The sequence below is a fragment of the Homo sapiens genome, chromosome 11 (genome assembly GCF_000001405.40).
Source record: "Homo sapiens chromosome 11, GRCh38.p14 Primary Assembly".
Lineage (NCBI taxonomy): Eukaryota > Metazoa > Chordata > Mammalia > Primates > Hominidae > Homo > Homo sapiens.
The window spans coordinates 78,348,105-78,366,962 of record NC_000011.10 but is presented as its reverse complement, the minus strand read 5'-3'; the positions used below and the strand labels follow the sequence as shown (position 1 = coordinate 78,366,962).

General features: G+C 39.2%; 1 protein-coding gene across 2 annotated transcripts in view, besides 2 other annotated features; it reads left to right on the top strand.

Moving 5' to 3' along the window:
* Window positions 1–18,858, top strand: part of GAB2 (GRB2 associated binding protein 2) — a 202,528-nt gene that overhangs the window by 50,858 nt on the left and 132,812 nt on the right. The window contains exon 1 of one of the 2 annotated variants that reach the window (XM_024448782.2): window positions 12,107–12,229. The exons of the other annotated variant lie outside the window; for it this stretch is intronic. Within the exon in view, the coding sequence (XP_024304550.1) occupies window positions 12,209–12,229 (21 nt within the window). The 5' untranslated portion in view covers window positions 12,107–12,208. Of the gene's footprint in view, window positions 1–12,106; window positions 12,230–18,858 lie in introns of those variants that run through there. 2 annotated transcript variants of the gene reach the window in all.
* Window positions 935–1,847: an enhancer, noted in NCBI's record as "OCT4-NANOG-H3K27ac-H3K4me1 hESC enhancer chr11:78076162-78077074 (GRCh37/hg19 assembly coordinates)". NCBI's record gives its function as "activates a minimal SCP1, AML or CMV promoter by ChIP-STARR-seq in naive H9 embryonic stem cells {active_cell/tissue: H9 hESC(naive)}" and the evidence as "EXISTENCE:reporter gene assay evidence [ECO:0000049][PMID:30033119]".
* Window positions 11,660–11,809: an enhancer, noted in NCBI's record as "active region_5320". NCBI's record gives its function as "activates an Ori minimal core promoter by ATAC-STARR-seq in GM12878 lymphoblastoid cells {active_cell/tissue: GM12878}" and the evidence as "EXISTENCE:reporter gene assay evidence [ECO:0000049][PMID:35858748]".

Genomic DNA, 18,858 nt, shown 5'->3' with positions numbered 1-18,858 from the left:
GCACATAATGGAAGCTTAAATACTCCTTGGATGGTTAGTGGGTTTTTAAAATTTCTCATGTAACTTTGTGAATAAAGATGGGGAGATTCTAATGAATATGTTGTTCTGGAGGATCATTTGAGAAGCAACCATTTGAGTTGCTTCTCCACTATATTTTCTCCAAGCCCTATCCCCAATTACATTCTATTCGCCATCATAGTCTGGATGGGGAATAGAATGTAATTGGGGATAGGGCTTGGAGAAAATATAGTGAATATAGAAGGTTTTTGATAATCCTTAACCCCTGCTCTTTGGTAGCAGGGTAAATTAACCCCCCATCCTCACTTTGTGCATATTCTATTTTAGTACTCATCTTTTTTTTTTTTTTTTTTTTTTTTGAGATGGAGTCTTGCTCTGTCGCCCAGCCTGGAATACAGTGGTGTGATCTCAGTTTACTGCAACCTCCACCTCCTGGGTTCAAGCAATTCTCCTGCCTCAGCCTCCCAAGTAGCTGGGACTACAGACATGCACCACTGTACCTGGCTAATTTTTGTATTTTTAGTAGAGACGGAAATCTAATTTCGCCATGTTGGCCAGGCTGGCCTTGAACTCCTGACCTCAGGTGATCCACCTGCCTCGGCCTCCCAAAGTGCTGGGATTACAGGCGTGAGCCACTGTGCCCAGCCTATTTTAGTACTCATCATATTATGTTAAAGAGCTTGTCTCCTACACTGGACTGTGATTTCCCTATCATTAAGAACTCGGTATGGTTTTTGTGCATCTAACAGCTAATACTTGATAATGTTTGTGTGCCAACTCTGTATAAACACTATTCTAGGAACTCAGTAAATGTTTGCATTGAATTGAGTTTGTGTTAGGAGTTGTATTAGAACTCTACACCACCTTATAGTTTATAAAACATATGTATATTCATTGTCTTATTTAATTTTGAAATCAACTGAGTGCTGCAAATGAGAAAAATCAAAGCCCAGAGAAAACTGTAACTGGTCCATAATTACACAGCAGTTAATGGCTGAACATCCAGGCTGAACTTTGCCAGTTAGTGGCTGAATATTCACGAAATTCTGATGCCTCCATAGAGCGGGATAGAATTATGGAGGACTTGTCATTCTGGACTGCGGAATTTGGACCTGTGTATTGAAACAAGAAGAGAAAGGGAAGTGTTTCTTAAGTTATTTTTGGATGAAGGCTTTTTGCGATCCAAGGCTTCATCCCCTCAAGCTCAACAATAGCATTCCTTGGGGGAGTGAGAAGATGATGAATGGTCATCAGTTTGCTTGCCTCACCCAGATTCCATTCCTACCTCCCAGAATTTTCCCTGGTCCCACCCAGCTCCACAGTAACAATCAATCCCAATCAGTGACTGTACTTCATTTTTTGGATCAAGGAATACCCCTCCCTTTTCTGTCTTCCTCCTTAGGGCTTTGGATAGGAGCCCTTTAATTGATGTTGACTAAACTGGAGGCCAGCCCCTGCATACCAGGAATGCCAGTGGCTTTGTTAGTTGAGGAGGGCGCTGCATTAGCACTGCCCTCTAAATCCCAGAGCAGGTGGAGGAAATCTAATTAGCATTTAGTAAGCCAAGGTGCCCTGGGGAGTTTCTGATAAAGAAAAGGTCACTGCAGAAGGAGAAGGGACACTGATAGGGAGACTTCATTTTCCTAGTGGGAACTTTCTGAAATGGACTGGCAATCAGGTGAGCTGGATTCTAATGCCTGCCTTACTGGTGGCTTTTTAATCACACTTAAGTCCCTCTGCTTATCTGAGATTTCATTTTCTTGTCTGTGTCTAGTCCGTTACCAGACTCCTTTTCCTACACAAATATTTGTTTCATAACAGTGGAAGGGACCTCAGATCATTAAGTTGCTATCACCTTGGGGTGACAGGTACACTAAAATCTCAGAAGTCACCACTAAAGATCTTATTCATGTAACCAAATAACACCTGTTCCCCAAAACCCTGTTGAAATAAAAAAAATGACTGCAGCCATTCCCACCCTTGTATTTCAAGCATAGCATTGCCACCTACTTGCAAAATACTATATAGACGTATATATATATATTTTTAAAAAGGTGCTATTACCTGGGAAGCTTTTCCCAACATTACATATGTCCAAATCTCACTCTGTATCTACTGAATCTTCTGATATCAGTAGATATGTAGTAAATATGTATAGTTTGGGGAAAATTTCTCAGGAAAGTTTGATAAAATCCCTGGTTTATGCTTTTTTGAAGAACTTAAACACATATAGCAAACTCAAGGCCTATCACAGCATTTGCTATCATAGTTGTTAGTAATATGTTTGGAGAGGAATTTGGGGGGATGGCTATTAAGTGAGAAGCTAGAGGTAGAATAACCACTGCAAGCAATAAGCATTTTACAAAATGGGGATTGAGCTCTATTCGTAGGTGATGAAATCAATGGTAATGAGTTGCTACCAGTATTTTCAAAGTAAAATAGTATACAAAAAGTAGCATGTATTGTGTCCAGTTAAGGATATTTATTGAAACTTTTAAGTTCATTGTATTTATAGATACTGTGCTACAATTTAAAAGACATTTCTTACTGAATTTTTGTCAAAATCCATTGACCTAGATAGGAATCTGTATTGGAGTAAAGATGGTTCTAAGGGGAAGGAGTGTAGAGAAGCAATGTGGGAGCCACATGCGGTGGTTCATGCCTATATTCTCAGTACTTTGGGAGGCGGAGGTGGGAGGATAGCTTGAGGCCAGGAATTCCAGAAGCAATGTGGAAAGGACACTAGGGAATGTAGGTTCTAGTCTTTATCCAAGCTCTTTGACTTCAAGCAAATCACATTTTTCTCCTGGACCTTACATTCTTTTTTCTCATTGCCCTTAGTACCTTCTGTCTGACTTCAACCCCACATCTGCTTGACAAGAATTAACTCAAATATCTCTTCTTAACACCTACCTGATTCTGGCATACAGTAAGTGCTTATAAATATATGTTAAATGGGTGAGAACCTTTCCCTTAGGTCTGTGGGTACTTTCACTGGGCTTGTATATCTACCACTCCATTTAAAACTCTACTTACAGCTTTTTAAGAAAATGTATTTCTAAGCCAGGCACAGTGGCTCATGCCTACATTTCCAGCAGTTTGGGAGGCTGAGGTGGGTGGATTTTGTGCTTGGAAATTCGAGACCAGTCTAGGCAACGTGGCAAAACCCCATCTCTACAAAAAATACAAAAATTAGCAGGGTCATAGTAGTGCGTGCCTATAGTCCCAACTACTTGGGAGGCTGAAGTGAGAGGATTGCCTAAGCCTGGGAGGTGAAGACTGCAGTGAGCTGTGGGTGTCCCACTGCACTTCAGCCTTGGCAACAAAGTGAGACCCTGTCTCAAAAAAAAAAAAAAAAGAAAATATATTTCTATTTATCTTTTACTAGGTTGTGGTCCCCTGGAAAGCAGACATTTTTATTCATCTGTGTATTCTCAGTACTTAACACAGTACCTGGTATGTAATAGGTGCTTCATAGATGTTGGAGAGAATACATATTTTTAAGAGGAGTATTTTAGTAGATGACTCATAAAACATTTATTGAGCACCTACTATATACCAGGCAGTGTGGTAGGTATGGGAAGTGATACAAATGTGTGTAAGAGACCAACATCTTCCCTTGAGGAATTTAGAGATTAATTGAAGCATAAGCACACAGAATTGCTGACAAAGCCATTAGTGTTAGTCTCTAGCTATGTGGTTGCTTATGCAGCTCATGTGTAACTTCTCATTTCTGTGTTTGAATACTGGTCACCAGAACCAGACAGGAAGAATGTCTTTCCGTTCTGATTAATTTTCTTAGGAATTAAGTAAGAAATTGTGTATCTGATATGGTGATCTAGTTCCAAGGAAGGTTAACTTGAGTTGGCAAAAGGAGCCTCATCTTTTTTATATTAGTTACTGGGAGGTTGTTTAAAAATCTCCCATTATGTAATGGACTTGTCACTTTCTACTTATAGTAATGGCAATTCTTGCTTTATATATTTCGAGGCCATATTACTAGGTACACATACTTTTTAGAAGTACATGACTTCTGGGCCTTTGAACCTCTTATCTTTGTGAAGTGCCTGACCCTCTTTGCCTTTTTACCTTAATATCTTTTTTTGCTTGGTAGTCATATACCTGCAGCAGCATTCTTTTGAGTAATGTATATGCTTTATGTAATTTTTTCCATCCTTTGATTTCAACCTACCTGTGCTCTTGTATTTTAGGTGTATCTTTAAAAAACAGTATGTAGCTAGATTATGTTTTTGTTTAGTCTGGAAAGTCTTTCTTTTAACTTGAGAATTTAGTTAATTCACATTTATTGTGGTTAATACAGTGAGACAGGCTTTATCTTTTAAATGGTGAATTAAATTGATTTACATTTATTGTGATTATGGAAATGTTTTGATTTGTTGCAACCGTGTAGTGTTGTACCTTACCTTACACTGAAATTTTCTGTTGTTTTTTTTAATCTTACCTTTTGGATTGAACATTTTGTTTCCTTTTTCTAATTTCCTTTTTATCCCTCTGCTTATTTGGAAGTTACACTCTAACTACTTCATTAGAAGTTACTCTAGGTATTTTATTATGCATACTTATTAAAATGTTTAAATTTAATAGATAATACATGCACATGGCTTAAACACAAAATATTTGAAAAGTATACTGTGAGAAGTCTCTTCTCTATCCTTCTGCCACCATCTGCTCATTTCTAATAACCTGGTGTATTTATCTTTATAATGTATGTTGGCCTGTTAACATATTAGATATGTTAGAATATATCTAATAGAGATTATAAATACGCATACAAATACGTATTAACTCCTCCATTTATACAAATAAAGGACAACTTTCTCTATACTTGCTTTTTTTTTTTTTACTTCATAATATATCTTGATGCTCTTTCCATATTGATACATGAACAGTTTTCTTCCCCATGCCTTTTTAAAAAGCAGCTGAGTGGTAGTACATCAATTGGTGAAGGCATAACTAAGTCTTTACTGATGAGCATTTACATTGTTTTCAATATTACTCTTTTAAATAGATCCCAAAATGCACATATGTCATTGTGCACATGTTAGTTTATCTCTAGGATAAGTTTCTGGCATTGCCTGGTTAAAGGATATATACTCTTACACTTTTGGTAGATTATATGTAATTTTGCCACATTGCTCTCCAGAGGGTTTGTAACTATTTACACTCCTGCCTCTTTTTCCACAGTCTTGCCAAGATGATTACCAAAGTTCTGTATGTTTGCCAGTCTAATGAGAGAAAAGTAATATTTAAGTGTATTTTTAATTTGTATTCCTTTTGTAAGTCAACATTGATCTTTTCACATGTTTAAAAATCATTTATAGTTATTTGTCTGTGAACATTTGCTTATTTTTCTGCAGGGTTAATGTTCTTACTGATTTGTAGGAGCTCTTTATGTAGGAGATTAGCCCTTTGTAATAGGAATTGTGAATTTTAGCGAAATATTTATGACTTCTAACCCAAGTTACCATTTTTTTCCTTGCTTTGTCCATAGGCATTTGTGTGGGTGTGGGGGGGTGTGTCCGTGTTGCCATGCAGGATTTGAAAATAGTTTTCATTTTTAGATTTATAGGTTTCTGTGTAGTCACTATAACAATCATTGTTATGGTTTCTGGATTTTAGGTAATAGACTTTCCCTCTTATAGGCTATAAAAGAAATGTACTATGTTTTATAATTTCATTTTATATTACATTTAAATCTGATCCAGTTGGAATTTTTCCTGATCTATGCTTAGAGGTACAGGTTCAACTTTGTTTCAGCTTTATTTTTAACAGTGTCATTAAATCTTTCCCATGGATTTGAGGTGCTACTTCTATCATAATCTAAGCATTTTATGCATTAGTAACCATTTGTGAACTCACTAAGTATTAAATTCCATTAGTCTGTATACTTATAAAATATATATAGCAATACGCTTTGTTTTGATTAATGAGGTGTGTTTTACCATATGGTTGTAATAGTGTCCTCTGCTATTCTTGTTTTTCTTTATGAACTTTACAATTGTATTCTCTTATTTAGAACAAATATGGTGGGTTTTTTGTTGTTGTTGTTGTTGTTGTTTTTCTTTGAGACGAAGTTTTGCTCTGTTGCCCAGGTTGGACTGCAGTGACAAGATCTTGGCTCACTGCAACTGCCGCCTCCTAAGTTCAAGCGATTCTCCAGCCTCAGCCTCCTGAGTAGCTGGGATTAACAGGGACATGCTACCACCCCCAGCTAATTTTTGTATTTTTAGTACAGACAGGTTTTCGCCATGTTGGCCAGGCTGGTCTCAAACTCCTGACCTCAGGCGATCCACCTGCCTCAGCCTCCCAAAGTGCTGTGATTACAGGCATGAGCCACCACACCTGGCCAAAAAAATGGTGTTTTTACTGAGTTTATGTTAAATTAATAAATTCATTTAGGGAGATTTGAGCTCTTTATCAGCACATACATTTTAATTTTTTAATTTGGCCTAAAGTATAGCAGTATATTTACTCTCTGTATTAGTTTCTTTTTTCTTTCCTCCTCCTCTTCTTCTTTTTTTTTTTTTTAAATACAGAAACAGGGCTTCGTCATATTGTCCAGGCTGGTCTCAAGTACTGTGCCAGCTTTGGCCTCCCAAAATGCTAGGATCACAGGCTTGAGCTATCATGCCAGGCCCTTAGTAGTTTCTTGTAGTTGCTGTAACAAATGACTACAAATTTGTTGGCTTAAGACAATAGAGATTTATCGTCTTACAGTTCAGGAGAGAATAAATCCAGGTGTTACAGCGCTGTGTTCCTTCTGAAAGCACTGGGGAAAATCTTTTGCCTCTTTTGGCTTCCGGTGGCTCCAGATGTTCCTTGGTTCATGGTTGCATCACTCCAATCTCTGCCCATGGTCACACTGTCTCTTCCTCCTCTCTCTTCTGTCCCTCTGTCTGTTCTTCCTCTATCTCTGTCTTATATGGATACATATGATTACATTTAGAGTTTCCCTGAATTCTCCAAGAGAAGTGCTGCCTATGAATATTATCTTATATGGCCTAAGGGTCTGAGACCTTTAACTTAATCACATTTTATGTCATATAAGGTAATATTCACAGGTTCCAGGGATTAGGACATGGGCATATCTTTTGGGAAGGGACCATTCAACGCACTACACCCTTCTTCCAAATCATGTAAGAATCTTAGCATACCTAAACTTGAATCACTCCTCCTAACTTATGTTATTGTTGGCCGGTATTTTCTATCTTATTTATTTATACCCACTTAAAATAATATTCTTGTTTTACACTGGAAGTGTTCAGATTTCCCATGTATTTATCAATATCTGTGCTCGTCTTTGTTTTCTTTTATGTCAGACCTTCCATCTGGGATTATTTTTCTTCCTAAAGTATATCCTTTAGAATTGCCTTTAGTGAGAGTCTGTCTGTGGCAATTTCTGTTTTTTTGTCTGAAAATATCTTTATTTTGCATTCATTGAGTTTGAATGGCTATTGACTTCTGCATTGAAAGTTATTTTTTCTTAGCACATTGAAAAATTATTCTGTGATCTTCTAGATTTCACTGTTGCTGTTCAGGAGTTAGCTGATAGTCTAATTGCCATTCTTCTGCAGGTGATCTCTTGTTTCTCTTTTAATGTCTTCTTTTTTGTCTTTGGTATTCAATTTCATTACCATATGTGGTTTCTATTTATCCTGCTTGACATTTGTTTAGCTTACTGGATATGCGGTTTGGTATTCTTTCAATGGTTCTGAAAACATACCAGCCAAAGGCAGGCATAGAATAATACTCCATCCTCTCTTATTTAATTATTGAACTTCAGTTACAAGATTAGATATATGTTAGACCCTCTTACTCTATCATCCACGTCTCTTAAACTCTGATTTTTTCATATCTTTAGTTCTTGGTCACATTCTATGGAATTTCTTTGGATTGCTCTTCCAGTTGACTAACTCTTTAGCTCTATTTAATCTGTTTAACTTGACCATGGACTTTTTCATTTCAATTGTAATTTTCATTTTTGGACATTCAGTTTGGTTTGTTTTCAAAAGTATTTAGTTCTTTTTTATACTCTCGTTTGCTAATTTTTTCAAGCTTCTCTTCTAAATCTTAAAAATTTTATATTCTGTCTCTAATTCCAACATGTGAAGTCTTTGAAGATACGATTCTGTCATCAGTTTTTCCTGGCTGTCATTCATTATGGTATTATGGCTTATTTCCATATATGTTTTTGTTTTACTTTTAACAGCAAGTGTTCCTTAGGACTTTACCTGTGGAAGCTATTTGAGGCCTAGGTTAAACATTTATTCTACCAGAATGGATTAGAGGCTGCTGCCTCCAGTAGCCTCAGGACATTATTAATCCTGGACTACTTTTAGATCTTCACTTGAAGTATCATGAATTTGATCACAAACTTGCATTAGAGCCAGATTTTGATTACAGACTTTTAGGAAAGACATTACTTCTTTTTTTTTTTTTTGGTCACTTTATTATTATTATTATTATTATTATTATTATTATTATATTTTAAGTTCTAGGGTACATGTGCACAACATGCAGGTTTGTTACATATGTGTACATGTGTCATGTTGGTGTGCTGCACCCATTAACTTGTCGTTTACATTAGGTATATCTCCTAATGCTATCCCTCTCCCCTCCCCCCACCCCACAACAGGCCCCGGTGTGTGATGTTCCCCTTCCTGTGTCCAAGTGTTCTCATTGTTCAATTCCCACCTATGAGTGAGAACATGCGGTGTTTGGTTTTTTGTCCCTGCAATAGTTGACTGAGAATGATGGTTTCCAGCTTCATCCATGTCCCTACAAAGGACATGAACTCATCCTTTTTTATGGCTGCATAGTATTCCATGGTGTATATGTGCCACATTTTCTTAATCCAGTCTATCATTGATGGACATTTGGGTTGGTTCCAAGTCTTTGCTATTGTGAATAGTGCCGCAATAAACATACATGTACATGTGTCTTTATAGCAGCAAGATTTATAATCCTTTGGGTATATACCCAGTAATGGGATGGCTGGATCAAATGGTATTTCTAGTTCTAGATCCTTGAGGAATTGCCACAGTGTCTTCCACAATGGTTGAACCAGTTTACAGCCCCACCAACAGTGTAAAAGTGTTCCTATTTCTCCACATCCTCTCCAGCACCTGTTGTTTCCTGACTTTTTAATGATCACCATTCTAACTGGTGTGAGATGGTATCTCATTGTGGTTTTGATTTGCATTTGTCTGGCCAGTGATGATGAGCATTTTTTCATGTGTCTGTTGGCTGCATAAATGTCTTTTGAGAAGTGTCTGTTGGCTGCATAAATATCTTCTTTTGAGAAGTGTCTGTTCATATCCTTCGCCCAGTTTTTGATGGGGTTGTTTGTTTTTTTCTTGTAAATTTGTTTGAGTTCTTTGTAGATTCTGGATATTAGCCCTTTGTCAGATGAGTAGATTGCAAAAATTTTCTCCCATTCTGTAGGTTGCCTGTTCATTCTGATGGTAGTGTCTTTTGCTGTACAGAAGCTCTTTAGTTTAGTTAGATCCCATTTGTCAATTTTGGCTTTTGTTGCCATTGCTTTTGGAACCAAAAGACATTACTTCTTTTCTAGTGGTCAAGACAGGTCAGTTTTTTTATGGTTCCTTTCAGTGCTGTAGATGTATTGCCCACACTTGAAACAGTCATCACAATTGTCACTAGTGTTTGTTACATAAATAACCTCAGGGCAAAAAATGGTTTTAGTGCTCTCTTTCTTTCCAGAATTTCTGCTTTCACTTATTTTTTTTATTGTGGTGAATGAAACATATATAACATCAAAATTATTTTTAAGTGAACAATTCAGTGGCATTAAATACATTCACATTGTTGCATGACCATCACCACCATCCATCTCCAGAACTTCTCATCTTACAAAACTGGAACTGTGTACCCATTAAACAGAAACTCCCTATTACCCCCTACTCACCAACCCCTAATCCCTGGCAACCATTGTTCTACTTTTTGTCCTTATGAATTTGATTCTAGGTATGTTATATAAATGGGATCATACAGTATTTGTCCTTTTGTGACCAGCTTATTTCACTTAGCGTAAGTCTTCAAAATTCATCCATATTGTAACATTTCAGAATGCCATTCCTTTTAAGGCTGAAATCATATTCCATTGTATCTATAAACCACATTTTTTAATCCACTCTTTGTCAGTGAATATTCAGGTTGCTTCCACCTGCTTTCATTTAACTTTTGTTCTCTACAGATTCCTTACTTCTTGACAGCATGACTCATTTTCAAAATTACTATTTAAGAATATTTTATTTAGCTTTTAAGTTGTTTTCTTTGGGAGTGTCATTCATGGTATCTAGGCTAACTTAATTGCTCAAAACCAAAGTCTTATACCTACTATAGGTGGACCAGAAGACAACCAGAAAGAACATAATTTGACTTTCTTTTGGGATGCTAAAAAGGGAAGATTCTGAGATATGAAACAATTAATATGTAGTTTTGCATGTTTTGATTCTTGAGGTCTGCTATAGGTAATATTTTTTTCCTTGCATGTGAGAAAACCTTAAGAATACTATAAGAAAACATAAACATTTCTGTCTTGCAGGATTTGGCATTGTTACCATGTTGTTAGTACTAACCTCTCACCCTCAAGTGCCCCAATATCCAGTAGTAGCATTTGAAACTTGTACAGAGATAACAAAATCATAAACTGCTTGAGCTGAAGGGGTCTAATTTCTAAACATCACCCCTTCCACCACTGTGTCTTTTTTTTTTTTTTCTTTTTTTTTGAGATGGAGTCTTGCTCTTTCACCCAGGCTAGAGTGCAGTGACATGATCTTGGCTTACTGCAACCACCACTTCCCAGGTTCCAGTGATTCTCCTGCTTCAGCCTCCTGAGTAGCTGGGATTACAGGCACACACCACCACACCCAGCTAATTTTTGTATTTTTATTAGAGACGGGCTTTCACCATGTTGGCCAGTCTGGTCTTGAACTCCTGACCTCAAGTGATCCACCTGCCTCGGCCTTCCAAAGGGCTGGGATTACAGGCATGAGCCACGAGCCACCACACCCAGCCACTGTGTCTTAAAGATGAGTTGGCTAAGGTTAAGTGACTGACCCAGCCAGGGTCCTATAAGGAGTTTGTGACATCAAGAACCTCAGTTGCCTCATTTTAATCTCAGTATACTTGGTACTTCTGTGTACTTTCTCTCTCTGAGAAGACCTGTGATCATTTAATGAGTTCTGAGCTTGGTCTTTTTTTTTTTTTTTTTTTTTTTTAAGTGAGACAGGGTCTCTCTCTGTTTCCCAGGCTGAAGAGCGGTGGCGCAATCATAGCTCACTATAGCCTCGGACTCCTGGGCTCAAGTGATGTTACTGTCTCAGCCTCTTAAAGCACTGGGATTACAGGCATGCGCCATCATGCCCCGCCTGAGCTTGGTCTCTTGAAATGTTGCTGTGGATGTTGATAAAGATGACCTGACACTGATACATGGGTCAGAGTAGAGGCAAGAATTCTCATCTGGTTAACTGGTGAAGATCAAATAGAGTTGGCCTTCCAAATACTATTTCACTCCTGTCTCTCCTGTTCATGGAATCTTTTTTGATAACAGAAGGTTACAGTTGGGTGGGAGAGCTCTTGTGATCATTCGTGCCAATCTCAAATTGCCCACAGGGACGTTTTGGGATCCCCTGCCCAGAAACTTTGCTGTTGTTTATAGATGAGGAAACTGAAACCTAAAAGATGTAAATATGGTTTCCCTCAAGTCACATAAAGTGCTTTTAGCAAAGCCAGAACTGGACCCACATCTCCTAATCCCTATTCCCGTGGAGGATCTCTATTACACTAATGCATTAACTTCACTCCTGATCTTTAAGTAAGCTCCACGTCTGTGGTCTCTGTTTTAAGATTGTGAAATGTCATAAAGGTGGTTTGCCTTTGAAAATAAGCCAGAACCTAGAGAGTTAATAGAAATTGAACAGTGAAAGTGGAGTCCTTTTCTTCTCTCCTCAACTGGGGAGCCGCCAGGCTGTTTCACTTGCACCGCATGTGTTCCATTATGGTATAATGATGTAATTACCAGTAATGCTGCTGCTGCTTGAGTAGTGGTGAAGAGGCAGCATTAAGGAAAAGACTAGCCCCAGTTCTCTCCTAAGAGCCATTTCAGCCCACTTCAGTCTATTAGATTGAAGATGCTGGAAGGCGAATGGCTTCAGCACAGGAAAAGGTCAGATTTAAAAGCTTTTCTGGGTTTGGTATTTATTGTTGCTTTTTTGACCTTCAGAAAAGTCCCCTGTGTGTTTGTCCTTGATTCTTGCCTTTCCCATTAATGCTTGAAAGCTGTATTGCTGTCCAGACCAGGTCTTTGGCATAGATGATTTCCTTTGTGGTGTTAGAGAAAGCCTAGCCCCCACTCCAGATGACCAGTCCTGTTGTCGTTCATGCCACCATTGCAGTGTCAAAAGCCTTTTTAACTCTTGAACATTTTAGTTTTCAGCAATTCTGTATGTATATATATATAATATATATGTCATATATGATACAATACATATGATATGATACAGTACAGTACATATGGTCTGTACTAGTATCACATATTCTTTCACAAACTTGCCTAGATCTAAACAATTTATGAATTAATACTTTAAAATACAGAGAAGTAAGCAATAAGACTTGAGTGCCTTGAGCAAACCTTTCTGTGAATCTCTTTCAAAACGTACAGCCTGCCACCTGATGATTATGAGGAGGTAATCATGGTCTCTGGAACACAGTAGACACTTCCAAAAGTGTTCCTTTATTAGAGGGTAGCCATCATTCTTTCAATAATAAGCACCTGCTGGGCCCAAGGTACAGGTTATAGGAAGACAGCAAGTTTTCCTTATTTCAGTAGTTCTCAAAGTGCCATCCCTGGACCAACAGCACCAACATCACGTAAGATCCCCTGAGAAATGCAAATTCTCAGGCCCCCAAGCCAGAGCTACTGAATCACAAATTCTAGGCTGGGAGCCTTCAGTCTGTGTTTTACCAAGCTTTCCGGTGATTCTGATGCATACTGAAGTTTGAGAACCACTTCTTTATTTTGTAGTTCAGTACCAGGAGTTATCTGATAATATAAAATACCTTATGTTTATCTAGAGCTGCACTGTCCAATACAGTAGTCATTAGCCATAGGCAGTTATTTAAATTTTAATAAAACCAAGTTATCTAGAGCTGCACTGTCCAATACAGTAGTCATTAGCCATAGGCAGTTATTTAAATTTTAATAAATTAAAACCAAGTAAAATTAAAAATTCAGTTTCTGAGTTGTACTAGCCACAAGTGCTCAGTAGACATATGTTGCTAGTGGAAACCATACTGGACAGCACAGATGTAAACATTTCTATTATCACAGGAAGTTCTATTGAATAATGCTGGGCTCAAAGCAGTGGTCCTCAGATTTTATCATGAATCGTATCATTAGTCTGTAAAATATACATTGTTGGGCCCCATCCCCAGTTTCTCCCAGTGTTTCTTTTTATTTGAGACAAAGTCTCACTCTTTTACCCAGGCTGGAGTGCAATGGCACAATCTTGGCTCACTGCAACCTCCGCTTTCTGGGTTCAAGTGATTCTCCTGCCTCAGCCTCCCGAGTAGCTGGGATTACAGGTACACACCACCATGCCCAGCTAATTTTTGTGTTTTTAGTACAGACGAGGTTTCACCATGTTGGCCAGGCTGGTCTGCAACTCCTGATCTCAAGTGATCCGCCCACCTCAGCCTCCCAAAGTGCTGGGATTACAGGTGCATGCCACCACTCCTGGCTCCCATTCCCAGAGATTGTGATTCAGTAGATCTGGGGTAGGGCTGGAGAAGATACACGTGTAACAAGCTCCTAGATGATGCTCATGCTGCTGGTATGGGGACCACTTTTTGAGGACTACTGGTCTTGCATAAGGATTCTTGATCTGAAGTCTGTGAACCTTAAAAAATTATAGGCAAAATACTCTATGTACCCATATAATAGAGGTTGCAGGATATAGGACTCACAGTTTTAATCTGATTATCAAGTGGGTCAGCAGGTCAGGAGAACTTTTAGCTGCAGTTAACAGAGAATCTGACTAATAGTGACTTAAATCACAAGGACTTTGATATTCATTTAGCAAAGTAAGAGGCTGGAAGTTTCAGCATTCTTTCAGTGGCTCAAGCATGTCACCAGGAAAATCAGGCACTTTCCCTCAGAAAACCCCTTATGTTTTTTTTGGCTAGCAATAGGTCACATGCCCACCTCTAGATCATTCCCATCAATGAGGAATGGGATTTGTATAATTGCTTTTGATTCAGCCCCTGGGGCAAAGGGAGGGGATTTACCTTCCCTGATAACATCAGATCTCCACCAGTCCTCTGAACAAAATATGAATTCTGTAACAAGGGTGAAGGGAGAAATGGCTATTTGGTCTCTCAGTGAGTGACCCAAAAAGTGTTAGGAGTGTCTGGTCTGCATCCTTTCAGCTTATCACATGCTTTCAACTTGCTAGGCAAGCAGGGCACAGACACGCCGAGCTGTGAAGCCCTGCTGAGCTCTGTCCTCTAGTGCCTTATGACGGGTTCTGTGAAGTCATCCTGCATGTAACGGGGATGACGTGGTATGAGATTTAAGAGCCTGATCCAGGCTTCTGGGAGTCGGCATCAAGTCAGCCTTAAAGCTAGTCCCCGTCTGACTTTGGCCCCCAGTTGTTTTGTGTGGTTGTGTGTTTTTGTTTGTTTGTTTGAGACGGAGTCTCAGTCCTGTTGCCCAGGCTGGAGTGCAATGGCGCCATCTCGGCTTACTGCAGCCTCCGCCTCCCGGATTCAAGTGATTCTCCTGCCTCAGCCTCCCAAGTATCTGGGATTAAAGGTGCCCACCACCACACTTGGCTAATTTTTTGTATTTTTAGTAGAGGCGGGGTTTCACCGTGCTGCCCAGCTGGTCTTGAACTCCTGACCTCAAGTGATCCTTCCACTTCGGCCTCCCAAAGTGCTGGTATTACAGGTGTGAGCCACTGCGCTCGACCTGGCCCCCCAATTCTTTTTAGAATTGGCTCTTGCTTGGTTCCTTTTGGTCAAGTCCCTGTCAAAGTACAAGTTTTTGTACTTTGATTCTTTAAAGACTCCCATTATTCTTTTCTCTCACCAGTCTCCTTGGAATTAGAGTCCTGGTCCTGGATTTGGGGACCAAACACTTGGAATTCTGCTGCCAGACTTCCAGTTCCCTATCTACTTACCTAGCTCCCTGCTTGTCTTCTCCCAGCAGTATGCTTTAGATGCTTGGCTTTCAGTAGGGAGATAGTGTCTAAAAATGTACAATGTGAGACTATTTCACGTAGAAATGGTAAATGAAGCACTGGGAGTTAATGAGATTATTGAAGGAGAAGATGTGAGAACGAAAGCTCATACCACCCCTCTACTGAATCAAATGAAGGGCATGGTCATTTGTGTGTTCATCTGTACTCTCCACAAGTACCATGAATCCCAGGCTGAGAATCAACAAAGACCTTATAAACAAAGACCCAGGGCCACCTGGGAATCCAGAGAGGTGCCTGATGAAAGGGATGACAGTAGCTCAGCTGGCAGAGCTCTCTGCCTGCATCCCCTGCCCCCTAGAGCAGTTCTGCTTTTACTTCTATGTTATGCTTCTATACGAAATCTTGTATGTAGAAATAAATAATTCCACTTATTAAAAAAAAAAAAGGCCACTGGGTAAATGATGCCGAAGGCCCCTTCTAATACTGAGAATGGGCTCAAGGGCTAGAATACAGGTACTAGGCTATGACATGTGAAACAGAAGTGTAGTCCTGTCGTATTTTAGGAGAAGGAACTCTGGCTCCCTTGTTCTCTGCATGGTTTTGAGCTGACAGTTGCCTCGGTCAACAGCTGGATACAGTACCCAATTGTTTGCAGCAAAAGTCCTGCGAGTCTGTTTCCTCTAAAAAGCTTCTTCCACGACTTCCTTCCCCCATCCTCCCAGGACAGAAGTGGACACAAGGGGGAATGTTTCAGTTCCCCTGTCGGGTTGTGTGTCTTCCTCTCAAACCACTGTTCAAAATGTCTAGGGAATTTTTATTTTCCAAAGTTGCTTACCGGAAACAACTTGGCAGAGCATAGTTTGGGGAGGAGGCTTTAGTTCAATGAGCACAAAAGCACATGTTCCTGTGGTGAATTCTTAACGTGTGTGAAGGGGAAGCAAAGGAGCTTTAGTAAAATTGCAGTTCAGGCTAAGTCAGGAATGGAAATGAGGAACAACCAGAAAACATCACAGTTTGTTTTAGAGCATTTAGTTCCTAACTCTCAATGACACACACTCAGGCTTATGGCTGAATTTCAGATTATCCTTGTATATACTTTTTAGAAGTTTTTATTTGGTATCATAATTTATAGTGTAACAATGAAAAGTCGCCTGGCTTTATAACAGATTTCAGAAAGTGAAACTTGGTTTCTGAGGAATAAACAGGCAGCAGAGCAATCCTCAAAGAGGAAGTGCATGAGAAACTGAGGGTTTAGGGAGATTATATTTGGTTAGAAACGCTGGGCCTTTGTTAAAAGTTGAAAAACCTGATCACTCCAGTCTTTGGAGGTTCTGAGGGAGAGCATGTCTTGCCAGAGTCTCACGGATGATTAGAGTTAATCCCGGCACCCAGGCCTCTTTACTTTTCCTCTGCAGTGTGGGTTCCCCTCCTGAGCTACCCGCTAGAGCCTAGTTTCCCAGGGTTTCTCTCTCTGGTCTGTTTTTGCAGCTCAAGCCATGTTCTCCTTGATCTGTTGGCCAGGCTTCAGGGGAGATGGACTACAGCTGGTCTGAAATAGGAAGACGGTAAATTTACTTAAACTTTCAGCATGACCCATTTGCCTAACTTTTTTTTCAATGTGATGAATGAAAATATAGACAACAGAATGTTTCACAAGACAGCCAACTCAAAGAGAATAAGAATGAGGACGTGTGCAATTTGCTTTTACCTTTAAAAAGAAGCATATTACAGAACCTCTTGATTGTCTTTCTTTTTTTTTTCTTTTTTTCTTTTTTTTACCTCTGTCATCTGTGATCCATTCGCCTGTTCAGCCAAGATATTTTGGCATTTTTACTCTGGGAAACCAGTGGGTGGGTGAACATGGAGGAGCCAAAAGTTAACAAAATACCAGCAAATGCTGGAGCCAAGTGAGAGGATTCTCCTCTGCTCCAGAAGCAGAGGTGTACCCCACCTCCCACTCTCCCAAGCTGCTTTGAAAAAGGCTGCTAAAACTCACCGACTTAAAAAAAATTTTTTAAAAGAAAAAAAACTCCCTGACTTGAGAGGATTTCTCAGTCCTGATGAAGGAAATCTCTAGCAGCTCTTCTTGTCCCTAGGCTATCAGGGCTTTTCCTTTCTGAGGATGCCCTAAGCACTGTAGGGAATAATAGCATTCGAAGGTAAGTTTATCTGGTCTGATGCCAGCATACATTGTTGAATCCAAATCTACCATTTACCATCGGGGTGACTTTCAATGAGTTCTTTAAACTTTCTGAGCCTGTTGTCTCATCTGTAATAGAGATAATAGTGCCTACCTCATCAAAAGTGTTAGAATTAAGTAAGATGATTTGTAACTTAGTACCAGACACCTCATTAATAATCAAATGTTTTTTGCAATACCACTCATTTTCTCACCAACTTCTATACAGCTTCCTGTTTTCCCAGTGATCGTGAGATATGGGAGGTAGTAGCTTGCTAACTTGTTTCCAGTGGCAGCAGGAGTGGCAAAGGAAATTACTTTTTTCCTTATCAACTTCAAAGGATAATTTACACACAGTGAACTATATCTGTGTACATTTAATGAGTCTCATAGGTGTCTGTCCGTACTCATGAAACAAGTACTACATTGAAGATGTAGAACATTGGCATCATCCCCAAAAGATTCCTCTTGCCCCTTTGCAGTCTTTCCCTTCCTTTGCCCTTAGCCCCAGGCAAGCACTCCTCTGTTCTTTGTCACTCTAAATTAGTTTGCATTTTATAGGAGTACAGTATGTACACTTTTTGTGCAGCTTATTTCACTCAGCATAGTGATTTCTGGATGTGTCCATGTTGTTGCATGTATCCATGTTATTGCTGAGTAGTATTCCATTGTGTGGATATACCACCTATTGATGGACATTGGGTTCTTTCTTGTTTCTGGCTCTTTTAAATAAAGCTGATATGAACATTCACTTGGAAATCTTTCTGTGGAGCATACATTTTCATTTCTCCCAGGTATACCCAGCAGTTGAATGGCTCAGTCATATGGTAGATACGTGTTAAACTTTTTGAGAAACTTCCAAACTGTATTGTTTTACTTTCCTATCAACAGTGTATGTGATTTCCAGTTGCTTTACAATCTCAGAAGCACTTAGTGTGATCAGCCTTTTTAATTTTAGTCATTCTAATGGGTTTATAGGTCATGGTATTCATTGTGGTTTTCATTTGTTTCCCTGATGTCTAGTGATGTTGAGCACCATGTGCCAACTGGCATTTTGTATACTATCTTCTTTTGTCTAGTATCTGTTCAAATCTTTTGCCCATTTAAAAAATTGTGTCATTTATCTTCTTACTGAGTTGTACAAGTTCCTTTTATGATCTGGATACCAGTTCTTTGTAAGATAGAAATATATTAAACATTTCCTTCAATCTGTGAAAACATGTGAATACAACTGATCCTTGAACAAAATGGGCTTGAACTGCATGGGTCCATTTATACTTGGATTCTTTTCAGTAAAAGTGACACTGAGTGTGCTTGCCTCTCCTGCCTCCCCTTCCTCCCCTTCTACCTCTTCTGCTTCTGTCACTGCTGAGACAGCAAGTCTAACCTCTTCTTTTCCTCTTTCTCCTCAGCCTA